The 26,778-nt window shown below is 45.2% G+C and overlaps 1 protein-coding gene across 3 annotated transcripts in view, besides 2 other annotated features; it reads left to right on the forward strand.

The window, feature by feature from the left end:
• TMEM132C (transmembrane protein 132C) overlaps window positions 1-26,778 on the forward strand; it is a 440,742-nt gene that overhangs the window by 281,935 nt on the left and 132,029 nt on the right. The gene's annotated exons all lie outside the window — the stretch shown is intronic.
• Window positions 21,272-21,461: an enhancer, noted in NCBI's record as "active region_7326". NCBI's record gives its function as "activates an Ori minimal core promoter by ATAC-STARR-seq in GM12878 lymphoblastoid cells {active_cell/tissue: GM12878}" and the evidence as "EXISTENCE:reporter gene assay evidence [ECO:0000049][PMID:35858748]".
• Window positions 23,346-23,515: a silencer, noted in NCBI's record as "silent region_5087". NCBI's record gives its function as "represses an Ori minimal core promoter by ATAC-STARR-seq in GM12878 lymphoblastoid cells {active_cell/tissue: GM12878}" and the evidence as "EXISTENCE:reporter gene assay evidence [ECO:0000049][PMID:35858748]".

The following is a 26,778-nucleotide window of genomic DNA, read 5'->3' on the forward strand; positions in this document are numbered from 1 at the left end:
AGACTGCCTTGGGGTGTGAGCTGGCTGGGCTTAGCTCCAAGCCTTGAGCTGAGTGTCTGTCTGTCCATGTGTGTTTGGTCCTGGGCCCAGGCTGAAGGGGCAGAGTTATTCTGGGTGTGCTCCTCTCACAGCAGCTCATTATCCTCTCACCTAAGACCAAAACTGGTGTCCTGTCCATTAACATCCCCCAGGCCAACGTGAGACACGAGGCCAGGCCATGGGGTGAGGAAGTCCTCACCACCCAGACATACGGGGTGGGTGAGTGGAGGGAGTGCGTGCTGCACTCAGTAAAGCCACCATCACCCCCCGGCGCGTCAAAGGGCTGCTTGGCTCGGAAAATATCCCCTATTGCTGAAATGTTCTTGCACAGTTTCCATCTGTGGGAAGCTTTAGACATCCCCTTTCCCATGTTCGTTTCTTCAACAAATTATGTGTCAAGTGCCTGGTACTTGCCAGCTACCATGCTGACAATCTACGGCCAGGAGTCTTATCGGGGGAAGTTCAAAGATGAGATACTTAAAGACTGTCCCAAATACGAACTCACACCTGGCGAATGATGAACCGTGTCGTGCTCAGCATAGGATGAACAGGGGCACTTGAATGAGTGAGGAAAGAAGAATCATAAGTGAGACAAGCAGTGCTGGCTGTGTGCCTCGCGCTCTCCAAATGCTTTGCATATAATCCTCCTAAGCATCTAATCCTCCTTCAAGCATTCGAGGTAGACACAGTGAGCCATGACCTCAATTTGCATGGGGGGAACCGAGACATGATGCATTTTTCAAACCCACTCAGTAAGAGCTGGAGGTGGAATTCAAACCTGGGAGGTCTGCCTCGGAGGACAAGCTGTCGCTTGTGCTTATTCTTGTCCTGAAAGGAAATACACCCAATGGATCACCCCAGCTGGCAGACACTGCTCCACCCTGGTTCCCGTTAAATCTCTTTCACTGCTCTATATCCCTCGGTAGGTGTGTTAGCCAGCTAGGGCTGCCTGAACAAAATTCCACAGACTGGTTGGCTTAAAACACAGAAATTTATTTTCTCACCATCTGAATTCTGGAAAGTCCGAGGTCAGGGTGCTGTCAAGGGTGGTTTCTGGTGAGGGATCTCTTCCTGGCTTGCAGTTCGCCACCCTCTCGGCATCTTGTGTCCTCAGAGGGCCTTTCCTCTGTGCATGGAGAGAGAGAAGCTCCTGGTGTCTTGTCTTTTTTTTTTTTTCGAGACAGGGTCTCGCTCTGTCACCCAGCCTGGGGTGCAGTGGTGTAAACAGGACTCACTGTAGCCTTGACTTCCTGGGCTCAAGCGATCCTCCTCTCAAGCGATCCGCCAAGTAGCTGAGACTACAGGCATGCACCACCAAGCCCAGCTAATGTTTGCATTTTTTGTAGAGATAGGGTTTCATCATGTTGCCCAGGATGGGTTCAAACTCCTGAGCTCAAGTGATCCACCTACCTCGGCCTCCCAAAGTGCTGAGATTACAGGTGTGAGCCACTGAACTTGGCTTCTTCATCTTCCCGTAAGGACACCAGTCCTGTGGGATTAGAGCCCCCTCTTAGGACTTTATTTAACCTTAATTACCATCTTAAAAGCCTGCTCTCCAAATATAGTCACACTGGGGCAGAGGGCTTTGTGAGATGAATTTTGGAGGGAACAATTCAGTCTGTAATCATGGGGTTGGCTCTGTCATCCTGAACCTGCTTCCGTCACTGCACCACCTGGGGCTGCCCCTCACTTTTGTGCACTTGTGCGGATTCTTAGAAGAGCCTGGGAGCTTCTTCCTGGGATCCTCTTTGCTGATGATGGACAGGTGTGGAATACGAAAGCTCAGCCCCATCTCCCCCACTGCAGACAACTCTGAATTGTCATGGACACGGTTGGACTCAGAGCTTCCCACAGGGTCAGGCTGCAGGCTGGGTCATTGAAAGCACACCTTCTGTTTGCTTCTTCCTGCAATGTGAACTATTTCCCTCTCCCCTTCTCCCTTTCCAGTTTCTCCTGGTGCGTGGGGAGAAAGGAAACAACATCCTTAATCAGTCACTTGCAAATGAATCCTTGTCTTATGATCGGCTTCTAATGAACCCAAACTGAGACTCTCAGAAACATAAGAGCCCCCCCCCTCCCGCTTCCTCCCCTGGTGAAATGTCCTCTTAGACGGGGAGAGAGCATTTGTTAGGAAAACTGTCAAGCAAAACAGCTGTTCTGCTGGAGTGCCGTCTCCCTGTAACCTAGAACCTCTGAAAGACCAGGGTTGTTATGGTCCTGAAACCATCTGTCTATAAACACTCAGACCCAGGAAGACAGCTAGCACCTGCTCCATACACACACCAGACCGCGTGGCATTTGGTTTCCAGGCTCCCCATCACCCTGGGAGAGGTCTGAGCATCTCGGCAGTCAGGCAAAGTCAGCCAACAATTTACCAGAGTGCACGTCGTATTTACAGGGTGCGAGGCCAACAGAGCAATTAGCATGCTGCCCAGGTCCTTCCCCGTCAGTGCCCTGTGACAGAGAGGATCGAGCATGAAGCAAATGCTTCTGTGTCTGCAGGGAAGAGGCAGAAAAGCACATAGAGAGCGTGCTGAAAGGCAGGAACACATCTTGCGGTTCTTTTGGCATCCTCCTGTTCCTTAGGAAGCATCTTCCGCCTCCCCCTTCATCTCCTTTCCTCGGTCTGCATCTTTTTTCAAAACCAGGTGTCCGGGTGAGTCTGAGTAGCTGGGGAGCAGTGAAGCGAGCAGTGAGTCTGACCTCAGCACTGGCAAGAGGGAAGAGCGGACCCTGGCTGCTTTTGATTCGAACGTTGCACCTTGATCTGATAAAGGTTTCTGCCTCAAGCATTCCTGGAGCCTTACTTTAAGCTCATTCCTTCAGGGAAAATGCTAAAACTTAGGTGTTTCTTTAAACTGTGGGCATACTCTGAAGTTCAGGGGGGACTCCGTGTTGGGAATGCAACCCCCTAAGGCTGTTGATGAGGCGGGCTCCCCAGCGGGGTCGGTGTAGGCACACCTGCCTGCCGCTCCACTTCCCACTGGCCCACATGCACCTGTGCTGTTAGGTGCTGAACACCTTCACTTCAACCGGTTCACTTATGTGTCTCAAGTTTCTCATTAGGCATTCTTATTAAAACGCTACTGTTAACATCTCTTCCAGAAGCAAATATAGTATCTTAAAAATAGAAACTTACATAGAAAACCATAATATTCTGTAGATTTTATAGTGCTTGACAGCACACAGAATAATACTGTGTGTATTTCACTGTCTCTGGCACTTTACAAAATGCTCTGTGTACATTATTTCAGTAAATCTTTCTAACGGTCTCATGAACTGAGGTATCATACCATTGGGCAAATATAGAAAAGAATAAAGACACTCACGGGAAGTAAGCATCCAAATGAATATTTAGGCAAATCATAAAAATGTTTTATTTAAAAAATAACTTTAATGTACACAAATAAATGGAGAAAATGCCTATCAGTTGCACAAAATAAAGGTGAGCATAAACAAATACAATTAAAACATAAAAATCCTGGCCAGGTGCGATGGCTCACGCCTGTAACCCCAGCATTTTGGGAAGCCGAGGCTGGTGGATCACCTGAGGTCAGGAGTTCAAGGAATTTGAGACCAGCAGGCCAACCCTGCCTCTACTAAAAATACAAAAATTAAGCTGTTCATGGTGGTGCGTGCCTGTAATCCCAGCTACTCAGGAGGCTAAGGCAGGAGAATGGCTTGAACCCAGGAGGCGGAGGTTGCAGTGAGCCAAGATCACACCAGTACACTCTAGCTTGGGCAACAGAGTGAGACTCTGTCTCAAAAACAAACAAACAAAAAAAAAGCATAAAAATCCTATTGAAGTCTAGCTAGCTAATGTTAATAGCAAGAGGCTGTGTGCTTGCCTTGGAGGTTAGAGAAAGGGGTTAGCAGGTGCAGGGAAGTGCTGTGGACACACGAGAGTGCAAGGGTGTCCAGTCTTTTGGCTTCTCTGGGCCACATTGGAAGAATTGTCTTTGGGCCACACATAATATATGCTAACACTAGCGATAGCTGATGAGCTGGAAAAAGAAATTGCAAAACAATCTCATAATGTTGTAAGAAAGTTTACAAATTTGTGTTGGGCCACATTCAAAGCTGTCCTGGGCCACACACGCAGCCTGTGGGCTACAGGTTGGACAAGCTTGCAAGCAGACCAAGCTGAGATTTTCTTCTCCTTACCTTTTTATTAGGCTTATTTTTTTAATGCCTTTATTTTACTTTTGTAATCATAAAAACATATTCAAAGATATGTTTTTTAAACCCATATTCCATATCTTATGTAACTATTACCATTATTGCGTCCTGCCTTACAGAGTATATCGAAGTATTTTTATACCATTGAGATCAGTCTGTAATATGTTACGTCTCTTTTGTAACTTAACGTTGCCAAAGTACTTTGCTTGTCCCATACTTAGCTTTTTAAATAACTGATTAAGTGGATGGACCTGAATTTATTTAGAAAGCCCCCTATCGCGGGGCACCTGGGTTGTTTGTTCTCAGCGTTTTAGTATAAATAAACCAGTGGCAGACATTTCCACGACAATATGGCACTGCCTTTTCCCCCCATTCTGAATCATGGAGCACAGGGAGCTGCTGTGAGGGATTTCTAGTCCGAGTTTCTGCCCTTCCTAACTTTATTTTGTCACCCCTCTCCTGGCCTTCACACCCAACATAGAAATTGGGGAACAAAGTCAAAAGCTGGCACCAGATGAGTGAAGGGGCCAGGGAAGAGGCAGGGAGCCAGGAATGGCCTGCGGGAGGAGAGGGAGGGACCCCGCGTGGTGCCCCTTTTACTCCTCCAGTCCCTCCTTGTTGCAGCTCCGGGGGTGTCTGTGCCCAGGACTGGTTACGGGCCATGTGGGAGACTTTCACTTTAACCTCAAAACTTCTAAAAGAATCTAAAAAGGAAACACTTTCTGTCCACGTGATTCAACCTTACTCAAGGGATGCACGTTGCCTTTTGGAAACCTTTCCTGGGATACTTCATCAGTCCCCTAGAGGGGCTGTCACTGACACTTGTAATTGTAGGACTGAATGCTGAGAGGCTGCAAAGCTAGCTGGACTCAGAGGCATCCATGTGAAATTCTGAGCCATTTAACCAGGAGTCGCAAATGCAAGGGACAGGTGAAAGGAGGAGGTGGGTAAGGAAGCGGGTGGAATGACCATGCCCTGCAGGCTGTGAGAGGCGGGGAGGGTGGCCGGCTGCACCCTCTCAGAGGACACATCCATTCTTTAGGCTCTAGAGCCTTCCCAGGTGGGAATGCCGGCTGTCAGTTGCCAGATCTCTGGATTTTTCTAGACCTGCTGAAAATCCAGAAATCTTTCAATTTTTTAACATTTGCTTGGATGTTTAAAATCCCTGTGCAAATCAAACAAAACGTATATTGTTCAGGAAAAATTGTTCATCAGGAAGTAAATCATGTGCAAAAGTGGCCTGTTTGAGTCAAAATAATGCCTGTTTTCTTTAGGAGGTTGATTGCCTGTATTGTCCAGGTACAGAGTTTGCAGCAAAACAGCTGTCTGGGAACTCGACTGTGCCTCTTTTGGAGGGACTTAGAAAGAAGGCCAGCTGTTTCAAAGACTCAGCTGCCCCTCATTTTCACCACACGAGCCCTCCTAAACAGAGCACATCGCACAGACGCTCCTGTATTTCCAGCAGATGCTATAAACACGCATCTGAGCTCCGGTTCTTATGGCTGTAAGTGTCAGCCCTAATTGGGATCCTGGTGCCTGGCGTGGAGTTCTCTCTCCCTGCTCCTCTTGTGACCCAGCTTCTAGTTTGATGGGGTGGTCTCTGGGCCAGTGTTCCCCATCCGTTCTTGGAGGAGACTGGGATCCACACACTTCCATAGAACAGTGAGTGATGCCTCTCCTGTTCTTCCCCCTCCCTGGAACAGAAGCAGCTGCTGCATCCCCAAGCTCCTTAATTCAAGAGCCAGCATCGTGCTTCAGGGACTCTCTGCTGCAGGGGAGAAAAGTAAATCAGGCAGGTAATAAAACGAGAAGGCTCTTTCCAAAAAAACAAAAAACAAAACAAAACCCAAAATCGTTGAAAATGGTGAATAAAATGCCCATTAGTATTCCTTTAAGCAGTCTCAGTTGCATACCTTATATACATAACTGTGCTTGGCTATTTGTTTTGGAGAATTCTGGAACAGGAACGTGCTCATAGCTGCTTAAACAGTTTTCAACAGTGCTTAGAGGAATGAAGTGCTAAAATAATCTGCTTTTCCCTAAAGGAAATTGCTCAGACCAACTGCCTTCTGTAAGAGATATTTGAAGATTGCAAACTACCACAAATTAAAATCTCCCAACCAATGGCATAAACTTACATTTTGGGTCCCCTCCTAAAACAAGTTAAAAACGTCTCCCACTCCACACACGCAAAACTTATAGCAGGCTTCTGTGAGCATCTGCAGCAGGATAATTTATTGATACACAAGTTGTGTGGGTCTCCATAAAATTGTCCCTCCTTTTCACCTTCAGTAGGCTTCAGGCCTTTGGCTTCCTGGACTCCATAGGGGTTTGTGGCAAACGTTGACTGTTAAAGCCCAAGATCATTGAGGTTATTGTTGTTGCCTAACTTTTTTTTTTTTTTTTCTTTGATACAAGATCTCATTCTGTCACTTAGGCTGGAATGCAGTGGCACGGTCATGGCTCACTGCAGCCTCGACCTCCTGGGTTCAGGTGATCCTCCCATATCAGTCTCTTGAGTGACTGGGACTGCATGTATGCACCACCACACCCAGCTAGTTTTTGTTTTTTTGTGTGTGGAAAAAGGGTCTCATTGTGTTGCCCAGGTTGGCCTCAAACTCTTGGGCTCAGTGATCCTCCCACCTCGGCCTCCCAAAGTGCTGAGGTTACAGGCCTGAGCCACTGTGCCTGGCCCAAGTTGTCTGTCATTTGTAGACACTAAACTCTTCCAAGAGAATTTGCTGGAGGCATTGGGGTGGTGGGTGGAGAGTAGGGGAGAGGAACAGTTGAGGAGAGGCTGTGAAAGAGCCTGAAGGAAGATTTTACTGGAGACCGAAGGGCCAGATCTGGCATCCCAAGCCTCGATTTGATGTTTGAAATGGTGAAGGGGCTTCTCCATTGCTTGATTCTGTTTCAAAATGCAAGCCCCACAGTTTATCATCCCATCAAGACTACCTACCATGGAGGAAATGAATTTTCCCAAAGGAAGTCAGGATGTGTCTATAGAGGAGGAATAGATGCTGGGCAGTGAAAGCTGATGTGTAGGACATGGCGCCCATGAGAACCTGCACAGTGTTGGACAGTTTGTCCACACCATCACCCATTTCCACTATACAGTGAGTATTAATATGATCCATTTTCAAATTATGACACTCTGTGTTATAGGTTGTACTTTTTTCAGAAATATTCCAAGGAACATACTCTCCATGTCCCCAACCCACAGGCTCTTCTGGAACCTCTCTACTCTCCCATGAACAGGTGGCAACTTTGTCTTCTCCCCTTGAAACTGGGTGGGCTGTAGTGACTGGTTGACTCATAGTGCTGAGCAGAAGTGATGCTATGTAACTTTCAAAGCTAAATCATAAAAGCGCCCTGCACCAACATGGAGGGAGCCCTATTGTCCAAAGCCACCATGCTGTGAGGAAGCCCAACTATCCCATGTGGAAAGGCCAAAAGGAGGACCCCCGAGCCTTGTGAATAGAGCATGGTGTCCAGCTGCCCCTGACTGCTCCTGCCACTATCTGACAGCAACTGCATGAGAGACCCAAGCCAAAGACACCCAGCTAAGCCCTTCCAGGACTCTTGATTCACAGAAACAATGAAAAACAATAAAATGATTGCTTTTGTTTTATACCACTACGTTTTGGGGTGATTTGTAGCATAGCAACATGAAAGTGAAAAACAGGGGAACTCCTCTGAGTTCAACTACTTGCCAAGCCCAACAGCTACTAAAGATCAGTGTCAATATTTTAGTCCTCTTCTTTATGGTTCTAAATGCCCCTTCTTCTCCCCCAACAAGGAAGAGATTCCTAATTAAAGAGATATTGACGGGTTTGTCATCTTACACCAAGGGACCCTTCCCACTTCCCAGCCCAGCATTACCTCTGGAAGCTTATTTCTTTTGGCACCCAAGCCTCATTTAAGGTATTTCATGGCCAGAATGAGGAGTTTCTGCTTTCTTCATTCCCATCATAGTCTGACATGTGGTCCCCAGTCAAAACTGAAAATGTATGAAGCAAATATATCTCTCAGCATCTGTCCTGAAATGATTTATTGTATCAAGTTAACAAGTCTCTCAAGCTCTTGCCAGACCAGTAATTAGTTTTAGGGGAAGGCTGGGAAGCTGATACTCTGGCCTCTGACATAAAGCAGGTGCATTTCAGAACTAATGTCTCGCCTTAGAGACCCTGCCTTACCAAGAGGCACAGGTGAGGTCCTCCCCCTGAAACCATGCCTCTGTTACTGGTCCTCAGACAGCAAACTGGACACTAGAGCAGGATTTTGGGACTAGATTTCTAATATCCCCAAGGCTCTGTGTGTCTCAGAGAACATATTCACAGTCTTCTCAGCCACCACTGAGCCACCATGCTATGCAAAGTTCATCCACTTTGGAAAACCCTTCAGATTTCACAGACTCTTGTTATTGAGGCTCCTTCTCATATCTGGCTGATCTTCACAAGACAGTGGCAAACTGCAGTAGAAATGAGCAGTTGCCTTTTTATTTTTAATTTAATGGATCTTTTTTCTACATCAGAGGTCAAGTGTTTGCTGACATCGTGCCCAAATTTCAAGTACTCCACAAAGCAATATGGCGCCACAAATAACAACGTGGCCTCTTGAGCCAGCCCGGCAACTTGGATTCACATCTTGGCTCTTCTGCGTGGAAGTCGCGCGGTTTCGCGCACATTAGTCAGTCTCCTTGGCTCTTACATGAAAATGAGATGATAAGTAATAATAGTACCTTTGCTGAGGAGTGCTTGTGAGGATTAAGTGGGTTAGTATATGAGGGGTGCCCACCTGGAGTGTTAGTTGTGTTTTCTATGGAACAAGGCCTCCTTAAGTTCTTCCTGACATTTTTTACACAGTGGTACAGAATATCTTGCATTATAATTGTGGCAGAGACACAGCACTATTTTCCCTTGGTGGCTGATGTGATTTGGCTGTGTCCCCACCCAAATCTCACCTTGAATTGTAGCTCCCATAATCCCCACATGTCATGGGAGGGACCCGGTGGGAGGGAATTGAATCATGGGGCTGGGCTTTTCCCATGCTGTTCTCATGATAGTGAATAAGTCTCATGAGATCTGATTGTTGTATAAATGGCAGTTCCCCTGCACATGCTGTCTTACCTGCCACCATGTAAGATGTGACTTTGCTCCTCCTTTGCCTTCCACCATGATCATGAGGCCTCCCCAACCATGCTGAACTGAGAGTCAATTAAACCTCTGTCCTTCATAAATCATAAGTCTCGGGTATGTCTTTACTAGCAGCATGAGAATAGACTAATACAGTGGCACATGCCAACCACTGAGCTATACTGCCCTGCTGACTTTGATCCACTCCAAATTCCCACTGGAAGCTCTATCCTGTCCACCTCCCTCTTCCTTTCAGTGGCTGGTTGGCTCTGGCCTTTACTCCCACCCTCAGGGCAACCTGTAGGTAAAAGAGAGGGCAGTGCCCAGTCAGAGGGCACCTGGTGATTGACTATTCTTTGCTTTGACTATTTATAAGCCAACACTAAAGGTCCTAGGCTTGTTGCAATTTGTCACTTTCCTAAGGTATATTCCCCCTTGTTCCTACTTTTGTTATTTTTATAATCTTGATTTATTTGGGGGTAAAATGTAATACATTTACATAGTTCCAAACTCAAAAAGTATACAGACTTATATACAAATATCTACTTCTGCCTCCAGCCACCCAGTGCAAGCCCCCAGAGGTGATCAACATTTGCAGTTTAACACATACCTTTCCGAAAATATTTCATGCATATGCAAACACACACACACACACACAAACACACACACAGACACACACAGACACACACACAAACACATACACACACAAACACACACACAGACACACACACACACACATTTCCTCTCCCACTGCAACTTCAAACAATTTTTTTTATCTAACAATATATCTTGTATTTTTTCCATGTTAGTACATAAAGTTCTTTATTCTTTTTTTCCAAACATCTGTATATTATGGCATATAGTGTAAATTATATAAACCAACCCCCATATGAACTGACATTTAGGTTATTCTCAGGTTTTTTGGGGTTTTTTTTGCCTGGAAGTACTGCTTTGAATAACCTTATGCAAAGACTGTTTTGTACTTCTGTGATCATATTCGTGAAATAAACTCCAGCAGTGGACTAGCTGAGTAAAATGGTGTGGGCATTTACACATTGCATATTAGCATGTTACCCTGCACAGAGACGGCACCCATTCACACCACCACCATCTTTACCCACACGTTCCTCATAAGCTGTTTGATCCTTTGAGACTCATATTTTATGTACTCAGAAATGACTTGGCTATTGAGTGGCCTGAGATTACCACTCACCGTGGAAATCGTGCTATGGATTTTTAGGATTTTGTGCCAGAGCCAGCCCCGTGACTCCTGGGAAGCTCTAGCATGGTATTTGTGAGCCTGGGATCCACTGAGTCACTGGTGCATCCCCCTTGGATCTGCTGCAGGGACAGCTACTATGTATGAACAGGGACCATGTGCAGGCTGTACCTTGTGTCTTCTCTAAATTCTCACTTAACCTGGGCTCTCTAGTTCCACTCTTTCCACCAATGCCAGCACCATCTTTCTTTTCAAAATGACCAAAGTGTTCTCTTTAAAACATAAATCAGGCTGGGCATGGTGGCTCATGCCTATAATCCCAGCACTTTGGGAGGCTGAGGCAGGTGGATCGCTTGAGCCCAGGAGTTTGAGAGCAGTCTGGGCAACATAGTGAGACCCTGTCTCTACAAAAATACAAAAGTTAGCCAGGCATGGTGGCACATGCCTGTAGTCCCAGCTAGTGGAGAGGCTGAGGCAGGAGAATCACTTCAGCCCAGGCGACAGAAGCTGCAGTAAGCCCTGATGGTGCCATTGCACTCCAGCCTGGGCAACAGAGGGAGATTCTGTCTCAGTCAGATCAGGGAACTTCCTGTTGGCTCAATCTTTGCATTTCTTTCTGATAAATCCCCAAGCTTGGTTGTGGCCTGCAAGATCCTGAGTGATCTGGCCCCTGCCCACTCTGGACCTTACCCCATGCTTCTCCCATCACTTGCAACTCATCTCCCACAGTGGCCTTCCAGGAGACCTGACCCTGATGAGCTAAGCGTGTTTCTACCCCAGGGCTCTTGGATCTGCCATTCCCTCTGATTGGACTCTTTGCATGACCAGATTATTCTAATTTCTACATCTTAGCTTAAATATTCTCCAAGAGGCTATCTGTGACCACCATGGTGATCACCTGCTTCATCTTATTTCTAGAACTCACCTGTATGGAATCACCTTGTTTCTTTGTTTGCCATCTGTCTCTCCATGAGAATGCAGATTTCACCATGGCAGGGAAGTGCCTATCGCCCTCACGTCTGTGTGTTTAGGGCTTAACTCAGTTCCTGGCACAGGGAAGGGATGGAAATATTTGCTGCATGAATACATGTATTGCTGAGTGAAAGATCTTTGTAACAATATGTTGAGTTATCTTGTCTCTAGTTTACAGATGAAGAAATGGGATCAGAGAGCCCTCGTGTTGAGAGTATGAATGCTGAATGACTAGATAAATGAATGATGCTTGTCATGATATATTGAATTAGAGCCTGTTGTCCCACCGTACAGATAAAGGAAGAGGCTCAGACAGTCTCTATGTGCTGAAAGAAGGGCGCCCTAGGAGTCAATGATGGAGCCGCAAGGTTTTGGAAGGGAAATGCAAGCAAAAACCAAAGCTACTGTCATGCCCCATGGCTTCTTTCCTTCCCCCAGACCTCCCTGCCAGCTCTCCTCCTCTCAACAGCTGTGATAAAGGCAGGGGGAGGATTTATTCTTCATGCAGTGAGGGATTTATGAAGCAAAGTTTTTATGTCAATGTTGTACTAGGCACTGCTGGACATATAGACATTTTGTTAAGATGTCATTCCAGTTGGCAAGAACTTCATGGCTTTGCCCAAGCTTGAAATTTGCTAATCATAAGGAAATATAGAGCTTCTTCATCTTTATTTTTTCATGCCAGGCTGCCTCTCAGAAATCAGAGACTTGCAGGGAGCAGGAAAGCTCAGGCTGTTCCCCTAAAAGCTTGAAAACGGAAGAGTCTTCACACGCTGCCTTCTGCATGCCTGTTAAACCCTCCCAGTTAGGGACCTCTGACTACAGCAGCCTGATTGGAAGGTCTTAGAGGAAGCACCTGAACTTCTGTATTTATATTCATCAGTCAAATAATTATTAAGTGCCTTCTAAGCAGTGGGCATATTAGGGTTCATTAGGTCTGGACGATGACCGTGTGGACGTCATTGTTGGTTAGAAAAGATGCATGCCAAAAAGTATTCAGTTGCAACTATGGCAAATGCTATAAAGAAGAGGTGTGCAGTGTTAAGGAACCCACATAAAGAAGTGTATGACTTAGGATATGGGCCAATTGCTTGCAAAAGAGACTTTGTTTAAAGTGGTATGAATTTCAAAAACGTAATTTTTTCTGTTCCATAGAGATCCAAAGTGGTTTGGTGCCTCTGCTCTGCAATGCCATCAGAAGCCCAGTCTCTTTTCTCCTGGCACTAGAGGCTGCCCTTGTTGATATGATTCAAGATGGTGTGCTAGTACTTGCAAGCCCAGCCAATGGGAGGATGGAGAGCGAGGGAGGGCAGTGGGGCAGAGAAGAGATGGGTGGGGTGTTGGGGGGAGTGATCCAGGAAGATACCGTCAACCAGTTAGACTATCCCAATAACCCCAAATAAGGATCCAATGCGCGTCTACCTTCCCACCACCATCTACCCCAAACTACAGCCTCCGCAAAACTGGAAACCGCATCTCTCTCTCCTCTGTCACTTTGCACAAGCCCATGTGGCTTGGCGCCAAGCATTCTGAAATGACACCCAAGCCTCTTAAGTTGGCAAAATATTTGAGGTTGTGGTTCAGGAGAAAACGTAGCAACACCTATTTTTTAAAAGCGGTACGAAAAGAGACAGTCTCTTAACATAGAGAGATTATCTTAATAACTTTAAATTGGCCCTTCAGACCTCTTACTTCTTTTCTCAAAGACATCATGACAGGTTGTTCCGTAAGGCTGTTCTCCATGCCTTTCCTGGGTAACCTAATAAGTTTTTTTTCTTTCTGTTTTCAGCATCACATTAATTCTTCATAAGTGGTCCTTATTATTCCCTGCTTGTTCCATCTCCAATGCAGTATTTTCTCACCAGGGGTGTGTAAACTAGGCCGGCTAAATGGCAAAGACGCCTCATTCATCATGTCTTTAATTTCCCCACCTTAGAAGGAAGCACTGCAGCTTAAGTGTAGGATGAAAGCAAATCACCTTAATACTTCACCGGCTGCCTGGGCTGAGGCTCTGCATGCCTCGCCTTCCTCCCGTGGAGCAGACAAGGGCAAGCGACCATCTTAAAACCACAGTGGTCACCCCTGTAACCATGGTGGGTGTAGATTGAGTAGGATAAAGGGATCAGCTTCTGTGACAGCAGCCCCCAAATCCCTGGTTCATCAAGATAGAGCAGATTTCTCTCTTGTTTGTGTGTTTGAGTTCTTGTAGCAGCTTCCACTCTGCAAAGGTGGCAGGTACCCAGACTCCTGCCAGCTTGTGGCTCCATCACCCCAAAATGTTGCTACAGTCAGTGCAATCCAAGATAGCTCATCACCACCATGAACTCCAGCCAGGGAGAGGGACAAAGGGTAAGCCAGGAGCCTGCTGCCTTCTTTTAAGTGCAGGACCCAGAAGCTCTTGACCCAGAAGCTCTGTGTCATGTCCCATGACAGAACAGACATACCAGCTGTGCCTAGCTGCAAGGGAAGCAAGGAAATGTCATCTTGTATCCTGGTGAACCATGTGCCATGCCCAAAGGGCACAGAGGAAGAAGGGGACAGCTGATAGTCTCTACTCAAATTCAAGTACAAATCTGAAAATACTCAGAGAATGAATGTTGAAAGAAATCCAACATGAGTCCTCTGAAGTAGAGGAACTTCTGGGAGTCAGACAGGAGGTCCAGAGCCTTGGCAGGTCCTGGAGGCCATTCTGGAAGGAGGTCATCTGGACAGCAAGGTGAGGGCTCAACTGCAAAGGACAGAAGTGGGCTTGTAAAAGTTTTCAATCACATGAGCAAGAACCAGCACAACACAGAGGGCTGCTCGGCAGAAAGAGAGACTTTAATATTTAAGGCGACCATTGCCACAAGCCAAGGACTCCTGTTTGCTCCTTGGAGTGATAATGATAATGATGATACAATCATCTAATGTCCCCCATTAGTAGAGCTGCTGCTGTTATCCTAGCACTGTGCCATGCGCTCTCGGGCAAGTCTGGGTCTGATGTGATTGAATTTGGGCAGTGTACATTCCCGGAAGAATGACTCTTCAGACCTCAGATTTCTCACACATAAAATGGGGATCTCATAAGATTGTTATGGGGATGACAAGTAATGTAAAAATGTGACAAGCTTAGAACTGTGCTTGACGCTTAGCAAATCCTCAATAAATATTATCTCTTGTCTTAGTTCATTTGGGCTGCTCAAACAAAAATACCACAGATTGGTCGGCTTAACCCATTTATGCCTGAGGTTGCAATTTTTTGAATTTTTGCACTCAGACCTTGGCGATGACCTTGAGCAATAGGATGTAAATAACTCCCACATGCTTAGTGTTCCAATAATGGAACACTAGGCATAAATGGCTAAACCTTTATTTCTCAAAGTTCTGGAGGCTGTGAAGCCCAAGATAAAGGCATAAAGGCACCGCAGACCTGTTGTCTGAGGAGGGCTGCTTCTGGGATTGCAGTAGGCTGCTGTCTCCTTGCGCCTCACATGGCAGAGAGAGCATTCCGGGCTCTTTATCTCCTCATAAGGACGTGAGTCCTATTGTGGAGGCTCTATGCTCAAGATCTCATCTAAACTTAACTCAGCTCTGAAAGGCCTCACCTCTCAGTACAATTGCATTGGGGGTTAGGGTTTCAACATATGAATTTTAGGGGGGCACAGATATGCGGGTCACAACACCTTTGTGTTGAGAAATAGTAATTATTATTTCTCACGGCTTTGCAGTCAGTGAGGAGAGGCTTCAGCCATCACAGCATCATCTCCAGCAGTGCCCCGCAAGCCAGCATGAGATTCAAGTACAAACTGTGCCGCCTGGCCTGGGGAGCGTCAAGGCCAGCACTGTCCAGCAGTGCTTTATGCCCACCCCGTGCTGCTTCTTTGCAGGAATTCCAGTTCAACCATGATGTTTTCTGATTCTTACATCAACCCTGAGATATGGGTACGATGGGTCCCATATTCCAGAAAACAATGTAAGTGCAGTGACGGGGTTGAGAGATAACATCTGCCATTTAAAATCAGTTCTGCCACTTACATCTCGTACAACTCAGGGAAGACACTTCTCTGGGCCTCAGTTTCCTTATCTCTAAAAGGGAACTTGTATTTCTCACCTCATGAGATTGCCCTCAAGAGCAAATAATTTGACAAGTGCCACATGCTTGGCCCAAAATGAGAGCTGCTGATATTAGGAAAGCCAGGGATTCTTGTTTGTGGGAGGCAGCTTCTGACATGGTCTCCAGGGATCCCCCCTTCCTGGTAGTCATGCCTTTAAACAATCCTGTCCTCTTCCACGGGCTAGACTGGCAATGTTTTTAACCAATATTATGGGATATTGTTATGGAGAATGGTCTGAGAAAGATAATAATTATTATAACTAATTAACAAAAATATTATGGGATATCTAACTAACCAATAGTGATATGCCACTCCCATGATTAGGTGGCAAAGCCTGGGGTTTATGTGTTGCTAGCAGACTCCATTGTCTTCTTGGCCTGTGTGCTGGCAGAGCCCGCCTGGCAGAGAACTGAAGGTGGTCTGTAGCCAACAGTCAACAAGGAACTGAAGCTGCCAGCCCAATAGCCCATGGTGAGCAGAATTCTCTCAACAACGACATGATCTTGGAAGCAGATCCTTCTCCAACTATGCCTTCATATAAGACCCCGGCCTCTCCTACCACCTGGATTTCAGCCTTGAGAGACCCTGAGGCAGAGGACAGAACTAAGCTTTTCAGGATTCTTAAGCCACAGAAACTTTGAGATGATAAATGTGAGTTGTTTTAAACCACAGATTTTAGGGTAAACTTTCGCAGCAATGCATAACTCACAGTGTTCTTACAGATGACCTAGAATTGCTTGTATAAACTCTTGGTATTAAAAAATAGTCAATAGGAAAATGTAAATATAAGAAGTTCTTCATGTCTTTATGGAACTTTATAATTTGCAAAAAGCATCTCCATGGATATCATTTCATTTGATCATCACAATAAACCTTTGAGAGCTGGACGGGGTAGTGGGAATTCATGTCACAGGTGAAGAAACTGATATTTAAGGGCATTAAAAGTAACTCATCCAAAACCACCTAGCAGAGTAGAAGAAACAAATGGTATTCTATCTCCAAAATGCTATATTCTTTCCAAGAAATTCACCATCTATTTGGGGATCCCTTTTTCCAAAATTCAGCATAAATTCCATAGTTTGACTCTTAAGAACTGCATGAAGGTCAGTAACATAATATAATCTAAATAGGTGAAAAAAAAAAAAAGAAAAAAGAAAAAGAATTTGAGACAAAGTCTTACTCTGTCACCCAGGCTGGAGTACAATGGTACAATCTTGGCTCACTGCAACCTCCGCCACCTGGATTCAAGCAATTCTCCTGCCTCAGCCTTCCGAGTAGCTGGGATTACAGGCGTGTGCCACCATGCCCAGATAGTTTTTGTATTTTTAGCAGAAATGGGGTTTCGCCATGATGGCCAGGCTGGTCCTGAACTCCTGGCCTCAAGTGATCCACCTGCCTCAGCTTCCCAAAGTGCTAGGATTATAGGCATGAGACACCAAGCCTAACCAAAAAAAAAAAAAAAAAAGTTTTAATCAATAGCTGTCTCTGAGCTTTCAGAGTCCCTTGCATTCTAGGCTTTCAGATTAAAGAATGCTACTAAAGAGGATAACATGAGGATGAACATAGGTCTAATATAGAAAAAAAATGATTGACATTTTGTGTGCATATTTCTGAAACCTATATTGTTTGGGGGAGGTTTTCCTAAAGAACCTATTGACTTTTTGGACCTGAGAATGTTATTTCTTTGCTCGTTTTATTTAAATGTATTGGGTTGGTTCAACCATTACCTGAAAATGTGAAACATTGTGTTTGGCCCTATATTGATTGCAGCCACACCATAGAGGGAAAGATCCTGGCTGTTGGTATTTGCTTTGTTTGTTTCTAGAGCATATCAAACTGACATAAAACGCCCATGAAATTACTTCTGAGTTTGAATGGCAGAGTGACGCCATCCTTACATGAGATTGATCTCTTTGATTGAATCTTCCATCAGAGGAGTAATGGGTGGATAAATAGCCACATTCCCAGCTGCACTGCCACATCACGTAGTTCGTACTGTATGGTGCCTCAGAGCTTAGACTCAGAAAAGACTGCCAGGGTTCGGGTTCCAACATTCAACTTAGTAACTGAAATTTAACAAGTTACTAAACTCTATGTCTAGGTTTCCTCGTCTTTAAAATAGTGATGACATTAATAGCATCCACCACCTACAGTTACTTTGAAAATTAAATTAATGTGCTTCTAAAGGCTCCTGGGAAACATGAAGCATTATCATTGTGCTTAATGTTGGTATAGTTGTGGTTATTGTGTTGCTTTTAGATGTTTCAGGGATCCTCACTTCTAGAAACTTGGGAACAAAATACCAAAGGGATGCATCATTTTGAAGAGCAAATTCAGCTTATTGACCCTTTAGAAAACATCCCAACCCACTTTCAAGTTTTCCAGGACCACTCAAGGATAGCCAGTCTTCTAAGACCCCATCCAAATCAGAACATCATAATGTCTCCTTCAAGGAGTGTTTCACACAGACCTATCTTTATCCAAAAAGGCTGTTTCAATGCAAGAGAAAGAAGTGCCAACCCAAACTCAATTGAAAAAAAGAACCTAGCAAACTAGGAGTAAGCTTGAATTCTACACAAGGGGATTTAGTAGTTCAATGTATGTCACCCGATGACTGTAGTTAATAATACTGTGTTGTTTACTTTGAAAGTTGCTAAGAGAGATCATAAGTGTCCACATACCCATAGACACACACACACACACACACACACACACACACACACACACACACACAACTGGTAACTATGGAAAGTGATAGAGGTGACTACGGTAATCGTTTCACAGTGAGTATGTATATCCAGTCATCATGTTGTATGCCTTGAATTAATATAATTTGTCTTTGTCAATTATATCTCTATAAAGCTGAGGAAAAGAATATGTCACTAGAAAGTGGCCTCCTCCACTTTAAGGTGTTTTGATTTCTTTCTGCTCTCCTCCACTGGAGTCATTCTCATGCTTCACGTGGCAGGATGATAGGCATATCGTCTCCACCCCACTGACCTTTCCAAGCTCGAGTCCAGCAGGGCAGAAAGCAGCTCTGTTCCTGTGGCCATGCCAGAGTTCTGACGACCAGTCTGATGTGAAGGTTCTAGGCTACAATGCCTGTCTCTGAACAAGATCCAATGCCTTGTGCATGGGCTGTGCTGATTCGATTTGCTAAGCCTGTGCCATGTGCTGCACCGTGGGAGCCCCATCTCAGCCACGTGGCCTAGAGATAGAGATGAAAGGACCCCCTAAGTTACATGACGCAGGAGCCAATGTCCATTACACAGCCCTTCCTGAGGGGTGGACCTCATGCAGAGACATTTACTGCTGGCCTCCTCCACAGTGCCTCGGTGTGCAGAATGGGTTTGTGATTTAGGGAACAAATGATGCCAGGAGTACATTTACTAAACAGTGTGATTGCTTCGTTTCTTTTCAAAAACACCTCTTAACAATGTCATCTTGCCATTAAAGAAGGGAGCAGTTCTCTCTTACTTACAGACCAAACGCTTTTCATGGTGCCCCTTAATGATGAAGACCTTCAGGGGCAGCCAGAGGATATGAAACTGGAAAAAAGAATCATAGATTTTCATAGCAGCAAGGATGCATTCTCCTGGCTTCACTCCAACAGCTTTATTATTTATGCTCATACCTTGTTCCACAAAGGATTTTAGACAATTTACAATACTGTCTCCAATATAGGAAGCCAAAACACATTTCAAATAAATAATCATAGCAAATACTTACCCTGTACTTGCCGTGGACTGGGCATTATTCTAAGCACTTTATGCAGACTTATTTAATCTCCACATCCCTACGAGGTGGGTGTGGTTATCAGCTCTGGTTTACAGATGCTGAAACTGAAGCCCAGAGCGTTTAAGAAATGCTCCAAGGTCACACAGCTGGCAAGTGGCAGAGTGGGGATTTCAACTAGCTCAGAATCTATGTTCTTAACCTCTCCTGATACTGACAAGGAGAGAATGAAGGTGGGAAAGTGAGGTGAAGCCAGGTGTGAGGTGGACGCACAAAACAGGCGTCATGAAACCCCGAGCCCCGTGTCCCTCAGCTTTCTACTAACAAGATCCAAAGTGCCCATCTCTCAGAAACAATCTGCCCAGTGAAAACCACAGTCAATGTGAAGCCAGAAAAGGATTGTTACCATGGGTTCTTTATGCAATCTTTACTTCATTTAAAAATATTTACTGAGATCCTTCTCTGCGCTGGGCACTCACTCTTCTAGGACTGAGTGACGGAAGAGACTGAGACCCTGCTCTCTCATGGCTTTTAATCTAGAGAGGAGAGGACACAGGTAGACATGTGACCTGCCAGTTGAGGACACATTCCATGAGAGATACTGAAGCAGGTGAGCGGGGGCGTGCTGAGTTGGAGCGGTCAACCCAGTTCTCTGAGGAGGTGATGTTTGACACTGGAATAGGAAGGGTGTGAGCACAGGCAGAGGGCACAGTGAGCTGAGTTTGGGACCGAATTGGGAGTCTCCACAGTGTCCAGCAGGGCTGGAGCAGGCCCCCTGAGGGGATAAGGTGGTGGTTAAGGTCAGAGAGAGAAGCAGGGGCCAGTTATGATTTTTTTAATCAGGACAAACATATCTGGGTCTGACAGGCCTTCTTCGGTCTCCTTCCTGCAGCAAAAATCAGGCCCAAGTATATTTTTTACTCTGCCTTTCTTACAAAGACAGATGTTAAAAGCACTAATGAGCTCTTAAATGGTGAAAAAAGAAAAAGTCTTTCACCTACTACAGCAAATATATACATAGTGGACAGATTTTTTAACCAAGGAGTGAAGAGTAGAGGAAGGGAGGGGAGGGGAAGAAAGTAAAAGAAAAGAAAGCACAATTTACATTTTCCATTTATACCATCAGCTTTTTATTAACCAGGTGACATGAAGACAGAGCCCACACTAGAGCGGCTTGTGGAGAGAGTAGTAAAACCTGACAGGTAATTTGGTAAATCAAGACAGTCAGCAAACATCTGTTGAGGATGATAATATTCAAGGGGTTGCATTGGTTCTGTGAAAACTTAGCCACACTGGGCTTGGATTAATTTTTCATTGTCTCCAGTTAAATGAGGATTGCTTACACAGCTGCCTCAGATAGAGCCCTGATCGCATTCCATCTTTTGCCAAAATCACAAAATACTGAAAAAGAAGAAATTAAATAAAATAAAAAACCAACCTCAGATACATTGAAGTCTCTTCTGGTCTCCAAGCCCCTGGATTCTTTCTTTCTTCACTATATTTTCTTTGATCACTTTCGATGCTCTTTTATTATCATTGCCGTTAACGTGAGAAGTGAAAGGAGAGATGGAGAATAAACACTGTCCATATTAGGAAAAATATGAAAAAGCATATAACCCACCGTGAATACAACTGGGGTTATCTTCTCGTCTTAGGCTCCTTAGCACCAGAGAGGAGTGGAAAGGTGAAAGAAAGAAAATTCAAGGGCTGAAAAATATCTACACCTCCCCACCCCCGCACCCCCCACACACTCACACTGTGGTCACATTGAGAAAAGATGCAAGACGCATTCTGACACTTAGGTGAAGCACAGCCACTGGGGATGTGCTTTCTCTTGTCAGTTTCTTTTCCAAGTAATTCACAACACGTGAGTGCATTCATGGGCCTTTACAAATCTTGTTTTGACATGCACGTCAGAGAAAAACTGCTCTGATGAATGGGTCTTGGGTTAGACTTCATTCCAGAATTTGCTTGGTTTTGCCTTCTTTTTTACGTGTCACTCCCCTAATGGGTGTTTTTACTGATGCCATGAACAGAAACTAGATTGCAGAGGCCTAACGAAACACGGCTTTTTTTTTTCCTTTGACTCAGCATGAAGTTCAGAGGCTAGGGTTAGGCTGTGGCTGGCTCAGTGTCTCCACAACGCCAGGGGACCCAGGCTCCTTTTCTCTTTCTGCTCTGCCATCTATGGCATGTGGTGGCTTTTCTCATGCTCACAGGATGACAGCTATACCCACAGGCATCTTATTGTGTTCCAGGTAGAGCAAATGGAGGAAGATGTATGGCTAAGGCAATAAGTAGGTGAAGGCTGGCGCTGTTTGCCTCTTTGGATAAGAAAAACAATAGCTTCCTTGCAAGTTCAGCCAGTAGACATCTGCTTATATCTCATGGCTGAATGGGACCCGTAGAGCCACTCCTAGCAATAAGGAAGTCTGGGGAAGTTACTATTTTCACTTTGGCACGTTACCACCCTGAAAAGATCAGGGCTTTGTTAGCAAGAAAGAAGAAAAGGATGGATGTCAGGGAAGCAACCAACAGTGGCTGGCCCAGGAGACAGGAGGGACATGCTTTCTTTGGGCTTTTGGATGTAGTCATGTGGAGGTTTAATGGCTTGGAGTTGCTCTAGCTACCTTGAAACTATACCAGACAAGGCCAAAAAAATAAAAAGCCAGTGTTCTGAGGATGGTAGAACAGAAACTTGGAAACTCTCTGTGTCCTTGATGACATTGCGGAGTCACCGAATTAACCAACCCTTATTGCCTGCCTTCTACCCTTTTTTATTTGCTGAAAAGGTACATCTCACTATCATTTAATCCAGTCTGAGTTTAGGTTTCTAGAGTGTTCAGTCAAAATATTGTAACTGACACAGTCTTCTACAAAGGAGAATGTTTTTTAATGAATATTTTTATTGTGGTAAAATATACATAACATAAAATTGACCATTTTAACCACATTTAAGCATACAGTTCAGTGACATCAAATACAATGAAACTGTTGAGCAACCATCACCACCATCCACCTCCAAAATGTTGTTTTATCTTCAACGGAAGCTCCGTACCCATTAAACACTAATTCCCCACTCCCCCTCCCCGCAGCCCCTGGTAATGGTTCTATTTTCTGTCTCTATGAATTTGACTCATCTAAGCACCTCGTGTAAGAGGAATCACACAGTGTTTGTCCTTTAAAGGGAGTATTTTAATAAGGGCTTTCATGGTTATAGGAGACAGAAAATCTAACTGAAATCTGTTGCAGAGTCCACAAGAGAATCCAGTTAGGCACGGTTGGATGCAGGAACTCAGATCTATTCCATTAAGAGGTGCCTTCTTGTCTTGCAGTAGGTATATTTTCTGTGCTGACTCCACTTAGAGGCAGATTTTCCTTTCCCCCGTACCAGGTCTTCATCTTCTTAGATATAAATCAAGTGAAAAAGCCATGACTGCTCCTCCACTGTTCACACAAAACATTCCAGGGTAGAGAATTACTGGCTGTGATTGAGTCACCTGCTTATCCCTGAACCAATCATATGTCTCTGCTGGCCTCTGATTGGCCAGACCTGGGTCACATTCCTACTGTGGCCTCTGCTAGTCTCTGATTGGCCAGGCCTGTGTCACATGCCCACTGTGGCCTCTGCTAATCTCTGGTTAGCTAGGCCTGTGTCACACGCCCATTGTGGCCTCTGCTGATCTCTGATTAGCCAGGCCTAGGTCACATGCCCACTGTGCCACACTGCTGGCCTCTGGTTGGCCAGGCCTGGGTCACAGGCCCACTGTGGTCTCTGCTGGTCTCTGGTCAGGCCTGGGTCACATGCGTACTGTGGCCTCTGCTGATCTCAGATTGGCCAGACCTGTGTCACATGCCCAGACCTGGGTCACATGACTACTTGTGGCCTCTGCTGATCTCTGATTAGTCAGACCTGGGTCACATACCAACTGTGGCTGGTGCTGGCCTCTGATTGGCTGGGCCTGGGTCGCATGACCACTGTGGCCTCTGCTGACCTCTGATTGGCTGGGCCTGCGTCACATGGCCACTGTGGCCTCTGCTGGCCTCTGATTGGCCGGGCCTGGGTCACATGCTTACTTGTGGCGTCTGCTGATTTTGGATTGGTCAGACCTGTGTCACATGCCCAGACCTGGGTCACATGACAAGTTGTGGCCTCTGCTGATTGACCAGACCTGGGTCACATGCCCACTGTGGCCTCTGCTGGCCTCTGATTGGCCAGACCTGTCACATGCTCACTGTGGCCTCTGTTGGCCTCTAACTGGCTGGGCCTGGGTCACATGCCCACTGTGGCCTCTGCTGGCCTCCGATTGGCCAGGCCTGGGTCACATGCCCACTTCTTGAAGCCAGTGACTTGGTCCCACTAGAAACATAGGGTTTAAAAGTGGTGAAGATACCAGAGAAATGCAAATCAAAACCACAATGAGATACCATCTCACACCAGTTAGAATGGCGATCATTAAAAAGTCAGGAAACAACAGGTGCTGGAGAGGATGTGGAGAAATGGGAACACTTTTACATTGTTGGTGGGACTGTAAACTAGTTCAACCATTGTGGAAGACAGTGTGGCGATTCCTCAAGGATCTAGAACTAGAAATACCATTTGACCCAGCCATCCCATTACTGGGTATATACCCAAAGGATTATAAATCATGCTGCTATAAAGACACATGCACATATATGTTTATTGTGGCACTACTCACAATAGCAAAGACTTGGAACCAACCCAAATGTCTATCAATGATAGACTGGATTAAGAAAATGTGGCACATATACACCATGGAATACTATGCAGCCATAAAAAATGATGAGTTCATGTCCTTTGTAGGGACATGGATGAAGCTGGAAACCATCATTCTGAGCAAACTATCACAAGGACAGAAAACCAAACACTGCATGTTCTCACTCATAGGTGGGAATTGAACAATGAGAACACTTGGACATAGGACGGGGAACATCACACACCGGGGCCTGTCGTGGGGTGGGGGGAGTGGGGAGGGATAGCATTAGGAGATATACCTAATGTAAATGATGAGTTAATGGGTGCAGCATACCAACATGGCACATGTATACATATGTAACAAACCTGCATGTTGTGCACATGTACCCTAGAGCTTAAAGTATAATAATTTTTTAAAAATTTTAAAAAAGATTAAAAAAAAAAGAAGCCATAACAGTCCAATTCATGGGACAGAAAGTAGAATGGTGGATGCCAGAGGCTGGAGGAGGGAGGATTGGGGAATTAATGTTCAATGGGGACAGAGTTTCAGTTTGGGAGGATGAAAAAGTTCTTGAGGCAGATGGTGGTGATGGTTGCACAATTTGAATGGACTTACTGCCACTGAACTGTACCCTTAAATGGTTAAATGGTAAATCTACTATGCATATTTTACTACAATAAATTTATTTTACTTTTTTGCAATCAAAAAAAAAAAAAAGAGAGTGGTGAAAATAGGACTCCATTTGCAGAGCCCTTAGTACCAAAGAGGAGTGGAGAGGTTTCCCCAAGGAAAACTGGATGCTGTTATTGGAAAAACAGAATACATGCTTGATGGGCAGACTGAACAGATGTCCACTACCGAGGGCACTTTCCACACAGTCCAGAGGAGCCTGCCCCATTTGGAACCCACATGCTCTCCACAGCTGGGCCCTGGGCCAGAACGCCACTTCCTTGCTCCTGGCAGATCTGAGCTGGACACTTCTATTTCCCTGCTCCATTGTGCATTCTTCCTCACTCACTTTTATATCGCTCAGAGCATCCTGTCTATGCATGGTGCTAATCAATACTTATTAGTTACGGCTCATTCCAATGCTAATATTTGGAGCACCATTTGTATGATAATAGCTAATGTCTCTCAAGCACCAGCTACATGCCGGGTACTGGCTGAAGCGCTTCGCTGCTATCATTTAATCTTCACAGCATCCCTACCATAGAGAAACCGTTATTATCTCCTGTTTACAGATGAGGAAACCAAGGCTGGAGCAGGTGAAGCCACTTTTGCACATGACTTCTTGTTCCGTCGTGGCGGCACTGCTGCCCCACCTGAATTTGACTGATCTGAAGCCCTTGCTCCTAGGCATGCTGTCACTCTGTTTCTTTGGCCAAGTTCAATTGTCCTTCCCAGTGGCCCCCTTCTGGAGGGCAGGCGAGAGACTTCAGTTCCGGTAAATTGGCAGTGTTTCCGTGTAGACTGGATTGTTCCATAAGATCTAGATTGATGGGCTTGGGTGGTTCCAAGTGGAAAAACCATGCTACCTTGGGGCACCAGGGACTGATTCCTTGGCCCTCATAAAGAAAGGGCCTGGTGCTTTGAGTTTCTTCACTGAATTTGGCCAGTGCAGGCAGAGAATGCATTCTCCAGTTGTCCTTGCCACTCCTCATTACTTTAGGTCCAGCCTCTTCACATATTTCCATTATCTGACTGGTCTCTGAAGACATTTGTATTTGCGGCCCCTTTTCTAGGGGTCAGTAGGTGCAAAACAGGCTATAGCAGAGATAACAGGTAATAAAATAAAAACCATGCAAGTTCCTCTCTCATCTGTGCCTCCCGCTATATGCACTACAATTCCTCGCTGTGTCTTTCTTTGTAATGTGGACAGTCCTATGCTTTATCTTTCTCGGCAGTAGGATTATGGAATAATACCTTTGACCAGCATTTACATTGTTACAGGATAATTTTTTTAAACACAGCAAAGTCATCATACCTTATAAATATAAAGAGAGGCCGGACATGGTGAGTCATGCCTATAATCCCAACACTTTGGGGGGGCCAAGGCAGGCGGATCACGAGGTCAAGAGATCGAGTCCATCCTGGCCACCATGGTGAAACCCCATCTCTACTGAAAATACAAAAATTAGCTGGACATGATGATGTGCACCTATAGTCCCAGCTACTGGGGAGACTGAGGCAGGACAATTGCTTGAACCCAGGAGGTGGAGGTTGCAGTGGGCCAAGATGGCGCCATTGCACTCCAGCCTGGGCGACAGAGTGAGACTCCGTCTCAAAAAGAAAAAAAAAAGAAAAAAAAGGACATGTGTCAAATATTTTACTTAACGATTCATGAGTCTATAAAATGTAGGATTTCAAAGGAAATTTTATCAATGAAAGGCAGAGAAATATACAGACCATGAGATAAATTTATAAGTGGGTGAAAAGCTGACTTTTATACATGGGTGTGGAGGGCAACAATTGCCCCTCCACTGAACATAATTTATTTGTATGTCTATTGACAAGAATTGTTTCCATTGCTATCATTTATTTAAAAGTTATGGAATTGTAAAATAGGTCAAGGACGACGCACTATACAAACATCATAGAATCAAATAACAGGAAAGATGTGTTCCAAACGTGGCACAGTTTACCATTCATGACACTCAGTAGTCTTTTGGTCCACTTCGAAGCCTGTC

Source organism: Homo sapiens, chromosome 12 (assembly GCF_000001405.40).
Source record: "Homo sapiens chromosome 12, GRCh38.p14 Primary Assembly".
NCBI classification, from domain to species: domain Eukaryota; kingdom Metazoa; phylum Chordata; class Mammalia; order Primates; family Hominidae; genus Homo; species Homo sapiens.